Below are 22,077 nucleotides of genomic sequence, written 5' to 3' on the forward strand. Positions count from 1 at the left end.
TCAGTTCTCTCTCTAAGAACTCAAGGAATTATAAACCTACTCAGAAATTATTTCTATCAGAGGATTAAAAGATTTGACCTTAAAAGAGAATTTCTGGGCCAGGCGCCGTGGCTCACACCTGTAATCCCAGCACTTTGAGAGGCCGAGGCAGGCGGATCACAAAGTCAAAAGATCGAGACCATCCTGGCTAACATGGTGAAACCCTGTCTCTACTAAAAATACAAAAATTAGCTGGTGTGCGGCACGTGCCTGTAGTCCCAGCTACTCAGGAGGCTGAGGCAGGAGAATCGCTTGAACCCAGGAGGTGAAGGTTGCAGTGAGCAGAGATCACGCCACTGCACTCCGGCCTGGCAACAGGGCGAGACTCCGTCTCAAAAAAAAATAAAAAAAAATAAAAAATTTTCTGGAAAATTCTCTCCTGTCAAATGCTTTATTTTTTTTGACATTGCCATAAAAACAATATGTCATTATACCTACTATCTTAGAAGATGCATTTTACTGAAATAATCATGCTTATCAGTATGCACATGTTATTATGCATTTCTCTGTATAATGAAGGACTTTATGTGCACTTGAGCGAATTTGTCTACACCTTAAAGAGGATCATTTTGACTTGATTGAACAGGATAACTCTGCATAAATGCTATAATCTATATGCTTTGAAAGTGGCTTTCCTGTCATTTGACTTAGTTAGGAATTTTCATAAGGAAAATCAGGACATCTTCATTCTAAGGAGAAAACCAAAGGGAAGTTTTAGAGGAAGCCGTTCATGCAAATTTAAGGTCAAGAAAGACTAAAATTACTTGGGTTTTGTCTTCAAATTTTTTAGAACAGTAGAATGCAAGAGGCTATCCTGGAAAATGCCATGTACAGCAATTAAAAGCTTAGTCTTCTCCCCAGAAGCCTAAGGATGCAGCAGAGTTTACCGAAGCCCTTGCAGAGAGGCAGGATAATAAACAGAGGCTACCAAACAGGACAGAATCCAAGTGTTGGGTGTTCTGGCGTTCTAAGAAGCTGGTTTTGTTTCTGTTTTTTTCATCTGAGAAAAATCTTTGGATAATAAACCTTCCGATTTTATCAGCCTATTCACTAATATTTTTAAGATATTTGTTCTTGCTTTAGGAGAAAGCACCCTGAAGGTTGTGCTCTTCTATAATTAGCATATACCTTTAAGTGAAATTTTCCTCAGCCTATAATGTGGTTAGTTTATATATCTCTGCAGATGAAGATAATTACTTAGCTTGTTTATAGAATACACTGCCACAAATATGGGTATTTGCTGACTATAATTAAGGATGTACAAGTTACTGGGTAAAATAAATCCCAAAATGTTCAAAGTTAGAATTTTCTGTTTGGAAGGGCAGCTAACAAAGAAGGTAGGTTGTGTCCTTTAAATCTATGCTGTGCAGTGTGGAAGGGCTCCAGCAACATATAGTGATTTCAGTTTAAATGAAATACAATTAAAATGTTTGCTCCTCAGTTGCACTGGTCATGTTTGAAGTTCTCAATAGCCTCATGTGGCTGGTGGCTGCCATATTGGACAGTGCAGATATATCTAGAACAAGTTTGTCCAACGCCCATGGCCCAGGATGGCTTTGAATGAGGCCCAACACAAGTTTGTAAGTGTTCTTAAAACATTATGAGACTTTTTGTGTGATTTTTTTTTTTCCTCATCAGCTATTGTTAGTGTTAGTGTATATTATGTGTGGCCCAAGGCAATTCTTCCTCTTCTTCCAGTGTGGCCCAGGGAAACCAAAAGATTGTTGGTCAACACTTGGATAACCAATGCCACCACCTTCCTTCTATGTATAAATGTCTTTAAATGACCAAGATGATACATATCCATAACTTGCCCTTCCTATGCCCTGCCCCATCCCTGCCCTCACCTCACGGTACCTAGGCAACAAACAAAGCTAAATCCCTGAGAAGTGTTCCCCCAACCCGAGAGCTAGACATTTGATCCCCAAGAACTAAGTGGCTAAACTGGCTTCAGCAGACACATAGATATTTGGGAAAAAAAATAGCAGTCTCATTACGGAATTAGATGAATGAACCCATTGCTCTTTTTCTTCTTCTGATTACATTAAGGATATCTAGACTTTTCCAAATGCCCAGTCTCAAGTATCTGAGTTACTGACTCCCTTTGTCCCTCAATGTTTTTTCCTGATTATATTTGCAAGTGAAGTTTGTTTCTACTCTCAGTGAGTTGAGAAAATTAATTTCTAATATTCAGAGGATCTCAGTCTGCCTCAGAGTAATTTGAGTGAAGTGTTGGATTAAAACCAGGCTCTGGAATCGTTCTTCCTGTGCCAGCTGCTAGCTATTGACTCTCCTTGAGCTGAGGCACACTTCTTGCTAGTTCTCTGTGTACGCATTTCCTATTAGACAGATGGGAAAATGTCACTCCTGTTAACAGAGGTGGGCCCCCTTGGACCTGAAAGCCACACAGAGTCTGTCTAATTTATGGTCTGGCCCTAGATCCGACTTTGGAATGAAAGATTTTGAAACCTGCTTCCATGTTGCTACTTTTCCAAAAGGTGCGAGTATTATTATTCAGTAGCTAAAAGGTAATGCTGCAGTGCTCATGGAAATGCATTCCATTCAATCAAGCAGGCAGTCTAGATTGTAACAATGTGCATGTCCCCTTATTGGACTTAACAAAGCTTTTTTATTTTGAAGGGAAAAAATGTAACATGTACACATTAAAAAATTTTAAAATATGGAATCCCTCCCCACCCCCCATAACCTGGAGGCATTCTTACTTATAAGAAGTTTAAAAAATTGAAATAAAACAGATTAATGTGTGTTTTCTCGTCATGAATGCTAGCTCCTTTCCTTTTTCTCCTAATCTCCTCATTTTATTTCATTCAGAATTTTCTGAGCATTTTTTTCTTCATCTCAAAGAGCCCCTGGGAAGCTGCGTGGTTGCTTAGTGATGTCACTCACAGTCTGAGAAAGCCAGGTGCCTGCTAGACATTAAAACATGCTCATTATCCTTCCTGTAATCTGCTGCCTTGTCTCACAGAAATTTGAAACCTAAGTGGATCCTGGTTGTAATGAAAAGAATCATCATCAGCCCTTTTTACATCTGACATTGGGGTAATTTTGTTTTGCGTATTTGGTCTCAACTGCTTTTTAATCCAACAGGCAGCATTCAAACGACTCTCTTCCTTTATGGAGATGATCTTGTTCAACTGCTTCCGCTGTTATTAGTCTTAAGAGTTGAAAATAAAATGCTTATAGTAGGAAGCTTACTAAGAAGACAAGTTGTTGCTTTTCAACCATCGTTTGGGAGTAACAGTGAACTTGACAGGAGTCAGTATTTGCCAGAAAAATGATCCCAAGCCTTGCTCCAGGCTACTGTCTTCTCACCCACTGTTCCACGGCCCCTTCCTGGCCCGTTTGGGGGTCCCCTGTGTCTATTTCAGGCCACGTCTCCCTCTGCATGCAGACCTATGTATGCCGCTTCCTCTTTGCTGCCCCTTAGGTACCCTGAGATCAGTATATCTAACACTGAATTGACTCTCTCACTGCTCATAATACCTTATTCTTTCCTCGCTTAGAACCCCTGGCCTCACTGTCCCTTCCACCCAGTCTGCAAACCAGAAACCTGCGTGGCCCATGGGTTTCTCCTGCCCACTCGTCTCTTGTAGCCAAGCAGTCACCAGATCTTGTGATCCTGCGTCTCGTTATCTGCCCCTCTCTCCTGCATCTGCTCCTTCCTGAGCACAAGCCTCATTATTTCATAGAGCCCTCCTGTGACCAGCTGGTCTTTCTGCCTCCCTTAGTATCTGTCCCCTTGATATGGTTTGGCTGTGTCCCCACCTAAATCTCAACTTGAATTATAGCTCCCATAGTTCCCACGTGTTGTGCAAGGGACCCCATGGGAGATAATTGAATCACAGGAGTGGTCTCTCCCATACTGTTCTCATGGTAGTGAGTAAGTCTCACACGTTCTGATGGTTTTATAAGGGGGTTCTGCTTTTGCTTCTCTCTCTTCTCTTGTCTGCCGCCATGTGAGACATACCTTTCACCTTCTGCCATAATTTTGAGGCCTCCCCAGCCATGTGGAACTGTGAGTCCTTTAAACCTCTTTCTTTTGTAAATTGTTCTGTCTTGGGTTTCCCTTTATCAGCAGCGTGAAAATGGACTAAAACACCCCTTTTCAGTCCACCCTACTAGAGACAACACATTGATTACCGATGGACTCATTGATCCAGTCAACATTTACTCAGTACCTACTTTGTCCCAGGCACTTCTTCTTGTTGTTGTTTAAAGAAATTAGCTTTTATAAATAAAAAGAACAATGAGGAAGAATAATAACAGAATTTTGGATTGATGGGCTTCAGGGATCCTTGCTGTACTGTGAGCTTATCCAGTCAGATTTTGTTTCCATGATATCACATCATTTTGTTACCTGAGCCAATTTAATTAAAAAACTCTCATACTGTTTATGTAGCATCGTACTGACCCAACCTGTTGCAATTTAATCTTTGCATGTGTTTTCATGACATGCTCCCAATAAAACAAAACAGAAACCAGTTTCTGCTATAGTCACTGTGCTTTGCACTACAGATACAAAATGTTCGCTTTTCCTTTCATCTTCCAAATATTTTTGTTTTCTCTGCAAAAAGTCAATGTCATAGGCATTTGTCCTTTCCAAATTAACCATCAGACATGTCTTTTTTTTTTTTTTTTTTTTTTTTTTTTTTTTTTTTTTTTGAGATGGAGTCTTGCTCTCTCTCCCAGGCTGGAGTGCAGTGGCTCAGTCTCGGCCACTGCAACCTTCTCCTCCCGGGTTCATGCCATTCTCCTGCCTCAGCCTCCCGAGTAGCTGGGACTACAGGCGCCCGCCACCACACCTGGCTAATTTTTTGTATTTTTAGTAGAGACGGGGTTTCACCATGTTAGCCAGGATGGTCTCAATCTCCTGACCTCGTGATCCGCCCATCTCAGCCTCCCAAAGTGCGGGATTACAGGTGTGAGCCACTGTGCCCAGCCAAGACGTGTCTTTACCATGATTATTCTGACTTTGCTTTTACACATTGGCAACCAGATTCTACTTGACTGATTCTAGATTGTTTGCCCCCTACCTGTTATTTAAAAGCACATATTTCAACATATTGAATTTCCTAAGCTACAGTTGATTTCAATTTTCTTTAGCTCATTTTTAATTCTCTTCATGCATAATCTTTAAAAAAAAATCCAATATGATGTTTTGTGCTGTGCCGTTTGACAGCTTGAAAACTGGTTATGCCATGTCCCAGGCACTTCTTTTTTTTTTTTTTTTTTTTGAGACGTAGTCTCGCTCTGTCACCAGGCTGCAGTGCAGTGGCACGGTCTCGGCTCACTGCAACCTCTGACTCCCTGGTTCAAGCGATTCTTCTGCCTCAGCCTCCCGAGTAGCTGGGACTACGGGCACCCACCACCATGCCCGGCTAATTTTTGTAATTTTAGTAGAGACAGAGTTTCACCATCTTGGCCAGGATGGTCTGGATCTCCTGACCTCGTGATCCGCCCACGTCGGCCTCCCAAAGTGCTGGGATTACAGACGTGAGCCTCCGTACCCGGCCCCACACACTTCTTTTGATGATAGGAATACATGGGTGAACAAAACCCATGCAGTCCCTGTTCTCATGGAGCTTAGGGTCGCTGGGGGAGGACTGACATTCAATTAGTAAGTAGCACAATAAAGACTGAGGAGGGATGGTATAGGTTTGCTTATGCATAGCTAAGTGTGTTATTCTTCAGTGGTTTTCCTTCATCTTTGGGATAAAATCTAAGCTTCATAGCACGTACATATGGCTATTCTGGAACTGACGGGAGCCTCTTGATATACTTACAGATCCTCTCCACGCTCCCGCCCCATGTCTGCGCTTCATTGGAATGCCTTGGCCTCTTGCTTCTTGAACAGACTTCAGTATGAGCCAAAGCACTATTACTTCCTTGGAGTCTTTCCTGCTTTCTTATTCATGATATTTCTCCTTGGTGCGCTTGTGGCCTCACTGTGTCCCATCACCAACCCCTTCACTGTGTAATTTTGTATTGTCTCCTTTAAATAGATTCTGAGGCCCTTGGGCCCAGAAATGCGGTTTTCTGTCATTTTATCCTTAGTGTCTGTCTTAACATCTGATAGGTGCTGGAGGAGTCTCATGGTTAGTGGTGCCTACAGACGGATCATTGTTTTGATGGCGGTAACAGCACCTGGGTTCCACAAGTGTTTGAACGAATACACACACCCCTGCTGGATATCCAGTGAATGAGATTTCAGCTTTGGGCGAGATGCTGGCCTATGTGGTGTTTAAATGTTTTGAAAGTTATCACTGCTTTTTTTCTATTACATAATTATTTATTTTTACCAAGCTCTCAAATGTCTTAATTGTGCCAGTCATATGTTATGAATTCTATTTCTGGGTATTGTAGGAACAGCAGTTCCTATGGCTTTTTTTTTTTTTTTTCTGTGTATGAGCAATTCGACTCAGTGGGATGATATTTTCTTTTATAACTCATTAATGTTTGCGATACCGTGTACTCAAATATTCAATGTCAGCTGTCAGCTACCATTGGGATCCATCCCACAGACCATCAAAATGTACTTTTGGGCTGAATTAGTCCTATGCCAAGACTTGTGGGTGGATCCAGCAGCAGTTGGGAACCACGTGCCAGGCCTGGTGTATGTGCTCACGGACACATTAATCCGATCATACCTTTCTTCCCTTAAAGAAACAATTAATGTTAATGTTATTGTACTTTGGCTAATGCAGAGTCTCAAAGTTAAATTAAGCACAACATAGGAAATTCTAAGTGGTTACCCGTAAAATGGAAGACCGTTTCATTCCCGCTGAGTGCAAATCTGGTGTCTCCGTATACTCAACATGAATGGCCGTAATACTTAATGCTTTAAAAAATGCATCTATTTCCAATGATAGATGAAAAGCATTTATTTGAGCCATCCGCATGCAGTGAACAATCTGTAAAATATTTGGTTATCTTCAGCTGGGCAGCATTCTTCCAGCTCGTATTGAGCTTGACTACGTCTAGATCTCATGCAAGGCATCCGGGCCAGCCATGAAGGAGGATGAGGTCCCTGCTCTCAAGGAGATCACTGTCTCGATACACAGATGCTCAGAGCCCTGCAGGACCCCTCTGGCTCTTGGTGTGGACTGTGCACTGCATGCTATTTCTCTTGAAAACTCTAGAGAACTGCTCGCTGTCCTGTGGGTTAAGTCACTTAGTGTAATCCCGAGGGAATAAGCAGACGCCCTCCCGAAAGCCTGGCATCTGGGACTGTCAACATTGATTACTACAGGGACCCAATGAGATGGAATTAAAATTAGCCCATACAGAAAAAGAGCACAGGAACTGTCAGGGAGATAGGAACATTTGTCCTGGAAATACCTGGGTTTTTGAATAGGTTTCCTGATGCAAAGGTCAGTGTTTCATACACACGCGTACTTCTCCCCACAACACCCCCATTTTACACCTTTCAGTACAACTCTGATTTAGAGAAGTGTGGTGGAGATTTATCTTTTTTTTTTTTTTTTGGTGTTGGGTGGCGAGGAGGGAGTGGTGAGGTTGGGAAGGGCAGTCCGTCATCCCCAAGCCTTACTTCTGGGGGATTTCCCCCTTGTAGAGGGCTGGGAACTTACGTTCCAGTACAGAAAGACAGGAAAAGACCTAACTACATCATATGCCAGGTGGTACTAAGTACTACAAAGAAAAACAAAGTAAGGGAGGAAGGAGAGAGCATAATGGTGTGCAAATGGATATATACATGTTCATATTTTATAAAACTTGTCAGACAGGCCTCTCTGAAAAAGTGACATTTAGCAGAGACCTATGGGAAATGACCTCAAAAATGACTTCCCCATTTCCCATGGGTCTCTGCTAAATGTCCAAGTTTTAGAGAGCAAAAAGAGAACGTGCAAAGGCCCTGAGGTAGAGAGCATGTTCTGTGTCTTTAAGGAACCGCAAGGTGTCCTCCATGGCTGTAGAGAACAGGTGAGGGACAGTGTGGTATAGGGTTGGATGCCCAGAGAAATTGCAGTAGGCCAGGAACAGTTCAGAGTTTATTCTGAAGGACGGATCTGACCTGACCTTGCAAAAGGACCACATTGGCTGCTGAGTTGGGACAGTAGTGGCCAGGAGACCAATGGCGGTGGCTTTGAGTAACATCGTACTGGTGTAGGTGGTGGGAAGTGCTGGGGTTCCAGCTACATTTTGACAGTAGAGCTGACAAGATCTCCTAAAGAATTGGGTATTGAATGTGTGAGAAAGAGGAGTCATGGATGACTCCAAGGTTTTTGGGCCAAGGAGCTGGCAAAATGGAGTTGCCGTTTTCAGAAGGGAAAGACCAAGGGGGCAAACACATGAAAAGAACATTAGCCCCTGAATTTTAGATACTTTCTTTGCTCCATATGAAAGGAACTTGAAATTTGAAAGGATGCACATCTCTGATTATATAAGTAAATATTACAGTTGCCTAGTTCTTGAGATTACAGTTGATCCGTGAACAACGCAGGTTGGGGTGCCCAACCTGTGCAGTCAGAAATCCACGTATACCTTTTGACTCCCCAAAAACTTAACTACTAATAGCCTACTGTTAATCAGAAGCCTTACCAATAACATAGTCAATTAACATGTTTTGTATGTTGTATGTATTATATACTGAGATTCCTACAGTAAAGTAAGCTAGAGTCAAGGAAAATGTTATTAAGAAAATCATAAGGAAGAGAGAATACATTTACGATTTGTTTAATGGAAGTGGATCATCCGAAAGGCCTTCCTCCTCATCGTCTTCATGTTGAGTGGGCTGAGGAGGAGGAGGAGGATGAGTGGCTGGTCATGCTGTCTCTGGGACGGCAGAGGCAGAAGAAAATCCACATGTAAATGGATCCTCACAGTTCAAATCCATGTCGTTCAGAGGCCAAATGTATTTGGGTCTGTGAAACTGGCCTTTGCTTTCCATCGTGGGCAGAGTTAGCTGATTATAAAATCATTCGTTCAGCAGAACTTGGTGGTTGGATTCCAAACCTGCAAAGGAACTATCATGAGGGGCAAGTTTCTGCCAGCGGGTATATCCCATCCCAGCAACACTGTTCTGAGCCCCTCAGCAAGATTCCATGTCCTGGTGCAGGGAGTCACTCCTTGTACTCCCAACAAGCTAGCCAGAGTACTCCTGCCCCGTCAGCCTCCCTCCCCACCTTCTCATCACTGTTTGCTGTCTCTCCTTTGAGCGCCTCCAGGTCTCTAAGTCTTTGGTGTAAGTGGCCCTGCCAACTCTCTCTTGGTCATTCAAAGAACAGTCTGTGTAAACAGCACCAAGTTGACACCATCTGGCCCAATTCCCCTGCATTTTCTTGGAGAGTGATTGTCTTGTGAAGCATTGAGACAAAGCCTTATTTGAGGAGAGTCCTTGGTGGGGAAACAATAGCTTCTGTGTTCTTCACAAGAACCTCTTTGGAGAGCAAACTAAACTTGGGTGGGTGGATATTGAAAAGGCTTTTCCAAGGGTAGGAAGCAAAATGTAATTATCTTCCTCTGCAGGAGTTTTTCTGTTGACATTTCCTGCTCTTAACAAAGTATAGTGTGTGCCCTTAAGTGTGTTGTTCTGGAAGCATCCACAGCCCTTTCAGTGTATCTTACATGCTGTGGATAATTTAAAAAGTACCCATTTATTTTACAAGTTGGAGGGAGTGTAAGACCCACTGAATTCAATACATAGCATCCACATTTTTAACCAGAAATCTGAAGTGTTAATTTGCTTCCCGTTTGTCCAGTGAACTTGACTCTTAACATTTTCTTAAATTAGGGGAATGGGAGCTGTAAGTTACAGTAGATGCCAAGTACTTGGTAAAAATGAAATGTTGGTGGGGGAAAGCCATGGGGAAAATGTATTTGTCAAAACACTTTAGGCTAAATAACTTAATAATAAATGTAGTATCTCATGGCCAGGCAGTGCAACATTCAATACAGTAGTCACTTGCCACATGTGGCTATTTAAATTTAAATTAAATAAAATTGAAAACACAGTTGCACTAGCCATACTCAAGGGCTCATTAGCCATCTGTGGCCAGTGGCTACTGAATTAGCACAGATATAGAACATTCCCTCCCTGGTAGAACATTGTATTGGGCAGTACTGATGGAGAACATAGTATAGGAACCATCTATGATAAATTATCATACATGTCACTCATTGTTGTCCAGCCCAAAGCCTGAGGGTAGGAGATGCTAAGAGACTTGAAGAAAATCTTGTTCTACAGTGGCATGATCTTGGTGGTGTAGGATGGGAAGCTCAAGTTTTGTACCCTTCAGTTGAAACATTTATCCTGCTGGTAACTCTGGTCTAGGACAGTAACAGTGTACTGAGCTACACGATCCTGTGTAGATAACGTGCTTTGTTCTAAGACACTTACATAGAAAATATAACCTATTTTAATAAGAAAATAATGGAGTCATTTCAACTCATGGGGTAAATAAAATGTAGGAAAGAAAGGGGGAAGCAGAGGTGGAGTGAATTTTGAAAGTCCCCCGTTTGTGTCGGTGGGTATGTGATCTGACTTTGAATAAAAGAGAATCAGATGGACGAATCTTTTCTTAACTCAATGGTGGATGACTGACATTGCCCTATTTTCCAGTTACATTTAAATGGAATCAATTGTTTTCTCTTCTAGCATAAAGAGCAGGCAAAGGATGGTTATCATGCTTTGGCTGAGACCAGGCATGCTGGATAAATATTTACCAAGCTAAGGAGGTCTGTGAGAACAGGGCTGGGTCAGGGATGCCCAGGAGTAAGTGACATTGTTCTCATAGCAGAGCCATGTTGTGCTACTGCTGCCAGATGACCCAGCAGGCTCAGAGTCATACTTCAGAGGAGGGGAACACAGGTCACCTGAGGAAAGGTAGCGTGACTTCAAACACTGGGCCACTAAGAAAGGTGGACCCCATCTCTGAGGTACCAGGCTACATGCTGTGGTTGACACCAGAATCCATGGAGAAACCTCTGGGTGTCCTGCACCCCACAGAGAGGTTTGGAAGCAGGCTGCAAATGGCACAGGGATACTGTCAACAATATGTAAAATGTAGTCAGTCAGTGTAAGGAATCGAAATTTCCATGATCACAACTTATCCTGAATGTGTGTGGAAGTAAAGCCAGGGGCTATTGTACTGACAAATAGGAATAGGAGAAGGTGACCTCCCTGAGCCTAGAGAAAGGCAGGGCAGGGATTTATCGGGTTAACATGGGCCAGTGGAGAGGGTGCGGCCTCCTGCCCACTGGGAAGAAAGGGCCAGGCATCCTGTCTTTAAACTAAGATGGCCATTTTGCTTACCCACATTTTTTTGCTCAGCTCACTATTGAGTCAACAAATCTTTTGATCATGGCAGGGTTCCCAGATGTTTTTGGGATTGTAAGGCAAATGTGAGGATGCCTCAAGAGATGCTGGTCTACTTGGGCTTTACTCTTTACCAAGTAGGTATATTTATGTGTGTCGAAGTCCATCTATGAATGGTCTGTGGACTTGAGCTATTTCCCTGGTATTTGATCATCTCTAACCAAGCTGATCAGTCATTTTTCATTCCTGAAAGGAGGAAAAAGAACAAACAGCATTTTGGCCCCACTGTGGCTTCCCTTACTCTCATTTGACCCTTGGCCCTCCTTCTCACTGAGGCCTGTGGAAAGCACAGCTCCGTGAAATTTAACATTATTCTTGTTATGATCACCAGTGAAGAAACTCATTTGCAAAGCCACTAACTCAAGGAGGGCAGGTTATGGGATGCCATGAAGGGTTCAACCATTGATAAGATAAGGGTTCAACCATGAAGGGTTCAACCATTGATAAGAATGCTCTTATCAAGCATTCAACAAATATTGATAAATACTGTTATAATATTTATTTGTAAACTATATTTGTATCATGTCATGCAGTGAACTAAGAGTTCTCCCACATGTCATATTACTTAATTTAAAATAAAAACACACTTGTGAGGTGAGGACAGTGCTTGCTTATTACTTTTCGGCACAAGTCATTATAGGGAAAGATAAAATGAAATAGACACACACCTGGCCTTTGGCATAAAGGTAAATTTACAGTATTATTAATTTGGAGAGAGCACTTTAGAGATTGGCTTTGTTTGTTGTATTTCTTCTTTCTGTTTTGGCAGGAGTGAAAAGCATTTTATTCTTCAAAAAATATGTATGTCCCCAAGGCCAGGCATGGTGGCTCATGCCTGTAATCCCAGCCCTTTGGGAGGCTGAGGCAGGCGGATCACCTGAGGCCAGGAGTTCAAGACCAGCCTGGCCAACATGATGAAACCCCGTCTCTACTAAAAATACAAAAATTAGCTGGGCGTGGTGGAGGGCACCTGTAATTCCAGCTACTGGGGAAGCTGAGGCAGGATAATCGCTTGATCCCGAGAGGCAGAGGTTGCAGTGAGCTGAGATCACACCATTGCACTCCAGCCTGGGCAACAAGAGCAAAACTCCGTCTCAGAAAAAAAAAATTATATATATATATATTACACACACACACACACACACACACACACACACACACACACACACACACACACACACACATATATCCCCAGGCATTATTTATTTATTTATTTTTTGCAAGTCTGTCTACTTACATAAAGGGCTATGTTGTTAATTTAAATGAAAGGGATTCATGTTTAGGGCTTCTTGCCTGGTATACCTTGGTGCTCTTTTGAAGTGATATTAAATTTTAGGGCAGGAATCGTAAATTGATTTTTATTCCACTGCCAAGTTTAGAGGAGTCATGGCAGCAGAGGGAGCCCTGGGCAGGCAATGCCACGAGACTCGCGTGTCCTCAGTGGATATGGGGAGGATGAAGGGGCAGTGGACACAACCCAGGTTTGCTATTCTTGCTCCGTGGGGGAATGCTAGCCATTTAGATTTAAGGAAGCTCGCTGGGTTACTACCTCTGCTTATAAACTCCAGATTTGTCAATAAGATGACCTTTGAAAGCATAAAAAGCCTGCAGATAAAAATAACCTCCCAGTCCCCCTCTCCTCCCCCATGTTCTTCTGGCTGGGTGAGTCAGTTTCTTATGCATCTTTGACTTGCTGATCTTGTTCCATAAAGCATCACCATCTTAAAGAATGGTTCAAATAATAAAGAGACATTTGGAATTTTCTTCCCAGCCTAAAGACTTACTCCAGAAATAAAGGTCAGTTCAGATTTGTTAACATCTGCATTAATTAGGACATCTAGCATGTCAAGTAATAAAAGCTAAAATTCTTTCTGCAACGATAAAGAATTGTATCTGGAAGACTGGGGTATGTATGCATGTGGTATTCTGAGAGTCCTTTCTTCCCATCCTTTTATATTTTGCATTCTTAAAATTAAGAAATTAAAGAGCCATAATCACTGCAGTTTAAAATATAAGAAAGAGCCCTGAACTTGGATGACCTTAGGTGGTTGCTTAGCCTCTAGCCCAGGGCTTGTCCAGGCCAACTGCACATTAGCCTCACCTGGGGAGCTTTTTAAAAGAATACTGATTCCCAGGTGCGACACCAGCTAACTGCATCAGAGCTTTGGGGATGAGACCCGAGCATCGATACATTATTTTAAAGAGCTTCCACATGGAGCATGTCCTGGTTTGAGAGCAGCTACTCTAGCAGATCTGTGTCTTCAGTTTCCTCATCTATAAACTCCCATTATCAATCAACTGGGAAGACCTTCGTGGATTAGGCTCGTCACCTTCTCCAGCCTCACCGCCATCATTCCTTCCTGTCCCGTGGCCCCCCGATTGCAGGTACACCTTGCCGCCAGCACATGCGCACACTCTCCTTTCTGCCTTGAATGCTATTTCCCCAGTTTCTTCCCATTCCAGTTCTCTGGATGAAATGACTTTCCCTGTAAAAATCCGAATCAGTGCTTCTCCCCTTGTAGAAACCCCCGTTCTCGCCAGAGTGGACATGGGCATCCTTCTCCTATGTTTCCATGATCTGTGAAGACAGGGACCCCCCGCTCTTCATGCACATCCTCCACTCCTAGCACAGGAGATGTTCAGGAAGCCTTTGCTAATGGGAGCCTTTTTTGCGTAGAATGTCTGTTTTCCCTTCTGAAGTTCTGAGCCACATTAGAGTACTTGTAAACTGTAAAGGATTTTACAAATATAAAGTGACTTAATGGCCTTTTTTTTTTTTTTTTTTCCTGAGACAGAATCTCCCTCTGTCTGCCAGGCTAGAGTGCAGTGACATAGCTCACTGCAGCCTCTGCTTCCCAACTCAGGTGATCCTCTCACCTCTGCCTCTTGAGTAGCTGGGACCACAGGTGCTAGCCACCATGCCTGGCTAATTTTTGTATTTTTTGTGGGGACAAAGTGTCACTACATTGCCCAGGCTGGTTTCAAACTCCTGAGCTCAAGTGATCCTCCTACCTTGGCCTCCCAAAGCTGGGATTACACGGCCCTAAATGACTTTTTAAATGACACTGATTTAAATGATTTCAAATGATGGTTTTTTAATAACAGCAAATGAATATTCATATATCACCTTTCTGTAATCTCTGCTTTTCTTCAAGTGAGAATATGGGGCATAGGGCTTTCTTTATTGTGCACAGCACAGTCTGGTTGCCCTCAGGGGAGATGCCGGATTGTTCCCATAGGAAGATAGGCTGTAGGGTAGCCTTAGTGCTGTCAACTGCAAAGTGACGTTCAGCTGATCAGCAGGAGCTACTTAGATGGTGTGTGCCCTGGGCAGCAGCTCCATAAAACCAAAACCTTGTCCAAATAACGGAGCTGCCCATGAACTTTTATTATGTGGACTTACCTCTCTCGAAGCCATCTGTGTGTGTGGTTTTGTGAAGCAATTAAGCTCCAGGTGTGCAATAGAAATGAAGTAGCCGCTTAATTATTTGGTGAAACAGCAGGCATTTGGGATTCAAGATTGGCTTTAAAACTTCCCAGGCTTTGTTCATGCTATTTTGTTCTTAGGAATTTTAACACAGCCTAGAGAGAAAGGGTGAATTACTATGACTACAGCCAACTGTAGGTACGATAATTTTAAAAACTCAAACTGCCCCGTGTTTAAATGAAATTATAAGAAGATCTGCCTGATTCTCTTTGGGTTATTACTACTGTGGGAAGGAGGACATTTGGGTGGGGACGTTATGTTTATGAACGGGCTGACATGTAAGCAAAATTTGGGTAGATGTGTATGTTTGGGGGAAGGAAGCCCCTCTCTCTCATCTGATTCTCAAAAGGGTCCTGTCTCCCTCCACCGCTTCACCCCCACCAATAGGAATGGAGTCTTCAGTGCTGTTTTATGTTACTTTGAAGTTGTCAGTTGTATCTAAGAATTAAAGATAGATTTTGAATAAGTTCCTTGTCATGTTACATGGCATAGAAGCAGATCCCTATCAGAGCGGGTTTCTGAATTATCCACGTTCCCTGTATCTTGTTTGCCATCATCCTGTGCGTTTGCATTTTGACCTTGACATTTCTGATGAGAAATGGCAGAGAAGTAGAAAATGAAATAAAGCAGAATGCCGAGAAACAGGGCGACCCAGGATTTCCATGTCAGGCTGTGTAGGACTGTGATGGGAACTGCCCCAAGCCCCAGAGCTGCGCAGCACGGTGGCCCTGCGTGTGCTCTGCATATTTGAGCATCTGTCCTCTATCAGGCATTATGTGTATACTTTCCTTTTTAGTTCCTTTAACAGCATTTTCAAGGCTTGGTTATCCCATTTTGCCAAGGAAAAGGGAAGACACCATGGCTTGTGTTTAAATACATTGCCTTGGGATCACACATCTCTACGTTCATTCGTGTCGCATAATCTGAAGACTGATTGACAAGGTCCCATGCTTGCACAGAGGTGGACTCACTAAACATTTGTTAGCTGTAACTTACTAGCATAGAAGACAGTTTCCAAAGGTGCAGATAGAAACTCTTATGGGACTGCACCCCATGCTTCTTTTTGTTTTATCATCTGCTTGTATGAAAGAGTTGGTTGGGATGAAGCAATCAGCTTAATTTTTTTCCCCTTACCTGTGGCTTTCAAGTATTTTGTGTTTGCTCTGCCAGCTGTTCCCAGGAATGGAGTGAAACCCTTGTTTTGTTTTTGTCTCTGTGTTTATGCTGTTGGGCTTTCATATCTTTTCATCAGCACTTCATTAATTCTTTGGTTATGGGACATGAGCAATGTATAGAGGAGTTAAAAACAGTCCCTGGCCTTCTAGGAGCTTAGAGCATTAAAAAGGAGCTTTCTGTCTTTTCAACGCCTTGGTTGTGTAATAATGTAGGTGAGTTACACCCGCTGATGGATGAGTAGTATGTTTCTTGCTGTAAAGTGGAAATAGAAAGGAATAAATGGTGAGCAGGCTTTAGGAATGTATTTGGTCATTTACTAACATTGTATATATGAGGATTTTCAGACCTGTGCTGAATGGAACTGCAAGTTTTAAGTGGAGGGGCTGCCAAAAATGAAGGCACGTGCTGCTAAGATGCTATCTGGCGGGAGGGATGGAACAGGAAAGCGGAGGTTTCTTTGGGAATGCAGTGAGTGGCCCCCTTGGGATTATGTGCACAACTTCAGAAAATATTGATTATATTTAAAAAATATTGATTTTAATGCTGGGTAATAAAGCAATACATGTTCCTATCAAAAACATTTGAACCGACAGCAACTAAAAAAAGCCACAGTTCTACCATGCAGAAGTAACCATTGTTACAAAACTTTGCTGTCTGTTTTTTTGGCATAGGGTGTTTTATTAATATTGACCTTTGCTAGAAACAACCTTTTCTCTTCCTCTCTATCCTCACACCCTCTCTCCCAGGCACTGAGAACAAGATGGTTACCAGCCAAGAGACATAAAAGCATACTCTGGCTGGCTCTATTTGAAAGATGGGGCCCAGCAGGCGAAATGTATGAACACGTAGGGGCTGTCTACTGAAGTGAGAGCTTTGACATTACGCCTTCAAATTATTCCTTTCCTTGCCTATTCTACAGAAGACTCATAAGCCTTGAGCAATTGTGTGTGGAGTTATGCTCCTGGGTGGCAACATAAATGCTAAAGTAGGAAAAATATTAGTAAAGATACAGTCTGGGCCCCAAAGAACCACATTAGAGTCTTAACTCCAATTATAGTCTTGGAAACCTGAATTCATAATTTCCTTCCATCCTTCTGCAGCCTTAGGAAGATGTAATTCTTTAATCACTTTATTTGAGAGCTTAGGAAAATAAACAGTAACAAAAAGCTGTTCAGTGGAGCTATATGGCTGCAACACACGACTGCACGGACAAAAATGTGGTGCTGAAATCACTGCTATTTTAATAATCGGTACATTTAATTCTAGCTCTTTATTATTTTAAAATAGTTTTTTGTTTCTATGTTTTTGGATGCTTTCTGCCTCCCAGATGATCTGCTGCTTCAAGTATGTGTGCTAATCAGTAGCTAATCAGGGGGACTGAAATGCTACAGGAGCATTGAAAGCTTCCTCTTTTGTTCTGGCCTCACTATTGAATAGTTTCTAATGTTCCCCCAAATAATGTTTAAAGAATTTATTAAAACACTCCCTCTCAGTCCCAGTAATAGGCCAAGAGCCAACCACACACAGAATTTGGCCACACCCTTTCCCCTGAGAGCACTGTATCTAGATTAAGATATTTATTGAGGCAAAGAGAAAGTTGGTGTTAGGTTAGGAGGTCTGGAGTGAGAAGACAGTCCGTCCATGCTGCCTTATGGGGTTGGCCTCGAGTAGTGTGGGGACGACAGGCTTTCACGTTAGTCACTTAGAGGTCACTGGGAACTGTTCCTTGGGGCCCTGGGCCACTGTCGTTTGCACGGACCCCGTGTCTCTCTCAGCCTTGGTAGCAGTCATCCAACCACATCTCTATCATCGTTCTAACCGGCAGTGAAGAGAGCTGGGCAGATGCTTTGGGAGCCCTCTTGGTTTGGTACCCAGGATGTCCGCGTATTCTTTTTGAGTGGATTGATTTCCAGGGAAAATGTTACATTATATAACAGCAGTTTTATAAACATATACAAAATGTGTTCTGTACATGTAAAAGGGTCTTGCCTTCTGACTGTGCCCTCTTGCCGGTGGCTTCATCAGCTCTTCCATCTCTGCAGGTGAAGCCACTTCTCTGCTCCGCCCAGCAGGGCCACCCTTCCCCGTCCCCTCTGTACTTTTTTTCTAAAATATAGAAAGAACAGCATTATGAATATTACTTGCTTTACCAAATGATGGTTTCAAATATATATGGGGCACTTAATGTCCAGTTTTCTTTGAAAATAGACTTCTCCAAAAATGTTGGCCTGGTCAGGCACTGAGGCTTCTGTCTTCTGTGCTGCTGCCGACTTGGGGGCTCCATGGCCTTGGAGAGTTACCCTTTAAGGGACTCCATTAATGCATCCCAAATGACAAAGCCCCTGCCTGGATGATCTCTCAGGTCTCTCCAACCCTGGAATTGGTGATCCTGTTGTTGGTCCAGACCAGCTGTCATCAACTTGGGGCCATTGCGCCATCCAGGGGACATCGAGCTGGGTCCAGAGACTGCTTTGGTTGTCATCTAATGGCATCTTGAGGAAAGAGGCCAAGGCACTGCTGATCATCCTACAAGGCATAGGACAGTCCACCCTGCCCCCAACAAAGGAACACCTGCTCAAATGTCAGTAATGCAGAGCTCATGCCAGCCCCCACCTGGAGGAGCCCTGGGCAAGTACATTGACCAGCTCCTGGCCACTTTAATGCACTTTTTTCTTTCTCTCTGTTGGACTTGTAGGGCTTTCTCTGGTCCACGTGTCACTTTCCACGTCTGTTTACCATCTGAAAGTTCTGTAGGTGAAGAGGTGGAGAAGTCAGACAGGTCTGCTTGGCAGAAACAGAGCTTCTATTGTATGAGGTTGCTGGCAAGTGAGAGAAGCCTGAAGTCAAGCCTTCTGCGGAGGTGTGGGTTTTCTGAGCCACATTAAAAATGTGTGGCTCGTTCTCTTCTCTCTGTTAGAATTTTCCTGGCAGTGACTTAGGAGCTTGGCATTTGTTTACTTTTCCATTTTGTTTATGTCTTTCTACATTCCTGGGACTTGGATTGTTGAAAGCTCAGCGTTTTCTAGATAATACTGTGCATTTAATATTTTAGAGGGGATAGAACCTAAAGAAGAGGTGTTTTGATCGTATAAACCTTTCGGGCTTTTGGGGGGAAATCAAGTCCCCAAAATGGTAGTACATTGAAAACACACAGAGGGATACTTAACTTGCCTTAAGAAGCCAGTGTTTTTATGTTTATTTAAGTGTACACGTACTCGGTGGTGTATGGCTCAGACTTCTTTAAAAAGCAGAAAGTAAAGACTGTCCTCTGAGCCAAAGCCAGGGCATGGAGGATGCGTGCAACAGCCTTGTTAATTCGGGTGACCGGATTTCTCAAACAAAACAGATCATCCTGTCTGTCGACTTTAAAATTCATGATCATTTTTTTTTTCCCCTAAGGAAACCTGATTCCTTTTAAGGAATACTTGGTGTAGACACACCTCAAAATTGACCCCGTACACAGACTGGCTCTGTACCCATTAACTTCCCTGCATAGAAGTAGGAAGCAAAAAGGAACTTTCCATGAATTGGGCTGACTTAGCTGCCACATTTTGGCACAAAAGCAGGGGCCACCAAGTTAGCTGTTAACTCTGCTCTTTAATGGAAAGCCATAATCAAACCTCCAGAATAATGGGGCAAACACGTGGAATGAACTCTCTTTCCACCACTTTTGTAAAATCTACCATGAATGGCAAGTGCCAGCTTATGCCTGTAATCTTACCCATATCAAAAAATTCTTTTCTAGCTCACATTCATTCCTCCATTTTCCCCAGTTGCTATATTTTCAACCTCCCACACTCATCTTTTTTTTCACCCCTGCCCACACCAGTGGCCAAAGATGGTCACTTTCTTTTTCCGAGAGCTGCTTCTCCCTGTCCGGGGCAGATCAGCTTTGCCACACTTCACCCTTCCTGGGCGTGCTCAGGCAAAAAGCACTGCAGCCCTCTCTCCTAGCACCAACCTAGCCTGGGTGCTAGCACTGACCAAGGTCTGGGCATTTGAGGAATTTTTACCTATAACATCGTTGTCTGGAGAGATCAAGGAAAGGCAAGGTGAAGAGCAAAGAGGAACTTCTTCAGGATCCCATTGGGGTGAGAATGGAAGCCATTAGTTCTCAGTTGTGGGATGCATTTCTCCTTGCTGAGAGATTGAGGTCGATGAGGTAGCATGGTTGATATTGATCCCTTGGGACCAGAGTAGGGGCAGGAGCAGCTCTTATCTGCAGCTGTGGGTGCTTTGAAACCAGGGGCGAGGAGAGTTAAGGTGAGTGCAATAAGCCCATTTGGGCAAGAGAGAGAGCAGGGAGTATCAGGCCCCAACGAGGAGAGCTCCTGAGCTGAGGGAGGAGGTAGTGATGTGGCAGCCTGTAGAAGTGTGGAGGTGGCCACTTGGTCCTGGTGGAGTTTTCATGAATTTTGCGGGCCCACTCTGTATGTAGCAGGCTCTGTTTTGATTGTAAAGGGAATATCAATATAATTTACCTTGATTGGTTATGCTCAACATGCACGAACCTCCAGAAACTTTATGCTGTGTGAATAAAGTCAGATACACATGATGACGTGTTGTTTGAAGCCATTTATGTGAAATGTCCAGAAAAGTCAAATCTTAGAGGCAGAAAGCTGATGTTGGGTGGTTGTCTTGGCCTGGGAGTGGGAACAGAAATTGACTGCAGACTGGCTTGAGGGAAAGTTTAAGGGTGATATGGAAATGTTTCAGAACTGGATTGTGGTGATGTTTGCACAGTCCTAGAAATGTACTAAAAAGTCATTGAACTGTATACTTACAGTAGTTGAATTTTATAGCATGTACATCTACTTCAGTAAACCTGTTAACATTTTATTTAAACTGGATTTTGTTTTGAGGCTTGTGGCGAGGGTTGAGAACCTACAAAAAGATTTATATGAGGGAACTTGGTCCTCGTTGTGTATGTTCTGGGGAACATGTTCATAAATGATGCTGTTAAGAGTTGGAACTTGTAAATTAAGTCCTCTCTGAACCTACGCCCTTAGCTTTAGTAAGCAGATGTTCCAGAGTCCCCGTTGTCGTCTTCTGAAATGCTCAACATACAAATGGCTTCATGGCTTGTGTATATAGGACATAGATTTATGTATATGGGAAAATCTCACTAACTGGGATATTTTACTTTAGCCTCAATTAGTAAAATCGATATGTGTAACAGGAGTGGAATTCTATGGAATCTCAGGGTTGGAAAGGGCTTTAAAGGTTAAGCGCCAGAGGAGGGATTCTGCAAAGAAAAACAGACAATTAAGAAATTCAAAGACTGCACTGTATTTGACTAGCTGATTGAAAGACCTGAAAGTTAATTTATGCCTCTTTGATTAGAAAGTTCCATTCATCAGAGTTCACTCGTTACTTGACCGAAGTGGTGGTCTGAGTGTCACTGCAAGCCTCCTTTTTCCCTGGTGTGTAGAAAACTCTACCTAACGGTCCTCTCTGTTTACTTTGGGAAATGCAGCAATTATTAGCGAGGTTGCTGAGAGTCACTTCAGGCCTGGTAAAAACAAACCGTGAGCTCCCTTTTCCCCTGTCCCCATGGGTAGATTCATCTTGGTGTATGACATAGTGGGGCCCGAGACCCCTCCAGCAGAAGGGTCTGCTGCTCTGCCAGACCTGCATATGGAAGCCAGTGAAATTACTGGGTAATGGAGTGTAGGACTTCCAGCTGCTTAATTGAAGGCTCTTGTTTTTACCCATATTTACTAGGGAGTTTATCTTTATGATTTTCATTCATCTAAGAACTAGGTGGGAAGAAAAATTATTTTAAAATGGTTTATAGATTATCAAGGGCTTTTGAAGTGACTTGTGCTTCTGTTTCATTCATTTATTCAGTCAGCAGACATGTACTCCTTGGGGTGTTAGGTCCAGAAAGGTGCAGATTCCGAGGTGGGTCCTGCTTTGAGATAACTCTAGGCTGGTGGAGAAGAGGGCTGCAGAGCGGTACAGGCCTGGAGCCTGGAGACACAGGAACCAGGAAAGCTACCCATTCGATGGGCACAGC

General features: G+C 43.0%; 1 protein-coding gene across 2 annotated transcripts in view, besides 1 other annotated feature; it reads left to right on the forward strand.

Annotated features, from left to right (window-relative positions):
- The window catches only part of FARP1 (FERM, ARH/RhoGEF and pleckstrin domain protein 1), a 312,588-nt gene that overhangs the window by 139,938 nt on the left and 150,573 nt on the right, over positions 1 to 22,077 (forward strand). The gene's annotated exons all lie outside the window — the stretch shown is intronic.
- Positions 3,035 to 3,536: an enhancer, noted in NCBI's record as "H3K27ac hESC enhancer chr13:98937815-98938316 (GRCh37/hg19 assembly coordinates)". NCBI's record gives its function as "activates a minimal SCP1, AML or CMV promoter by ChIP-STARR-seq in primed H9 embryonic stem cells {active_cell/tissue: H9 hESC(primed)}" and the evidence as "EXISTENCE:reporter gene assay evidence [ECO:0000049][PMID:30033119]".

Source organism: Homo sapiens, chromosome 13 (assembly GCF_000001405.40).
Source record: "Homo sapiens chromosome 13, GRCh38.p14 Primary Assembly".
Classification (NCBI taxonomy): domain Eukaryota; kingdom Metazoa; phylum Chordata; class Mammalia; order Primates; family Hominidae; genus Homo; species Homo sapiens.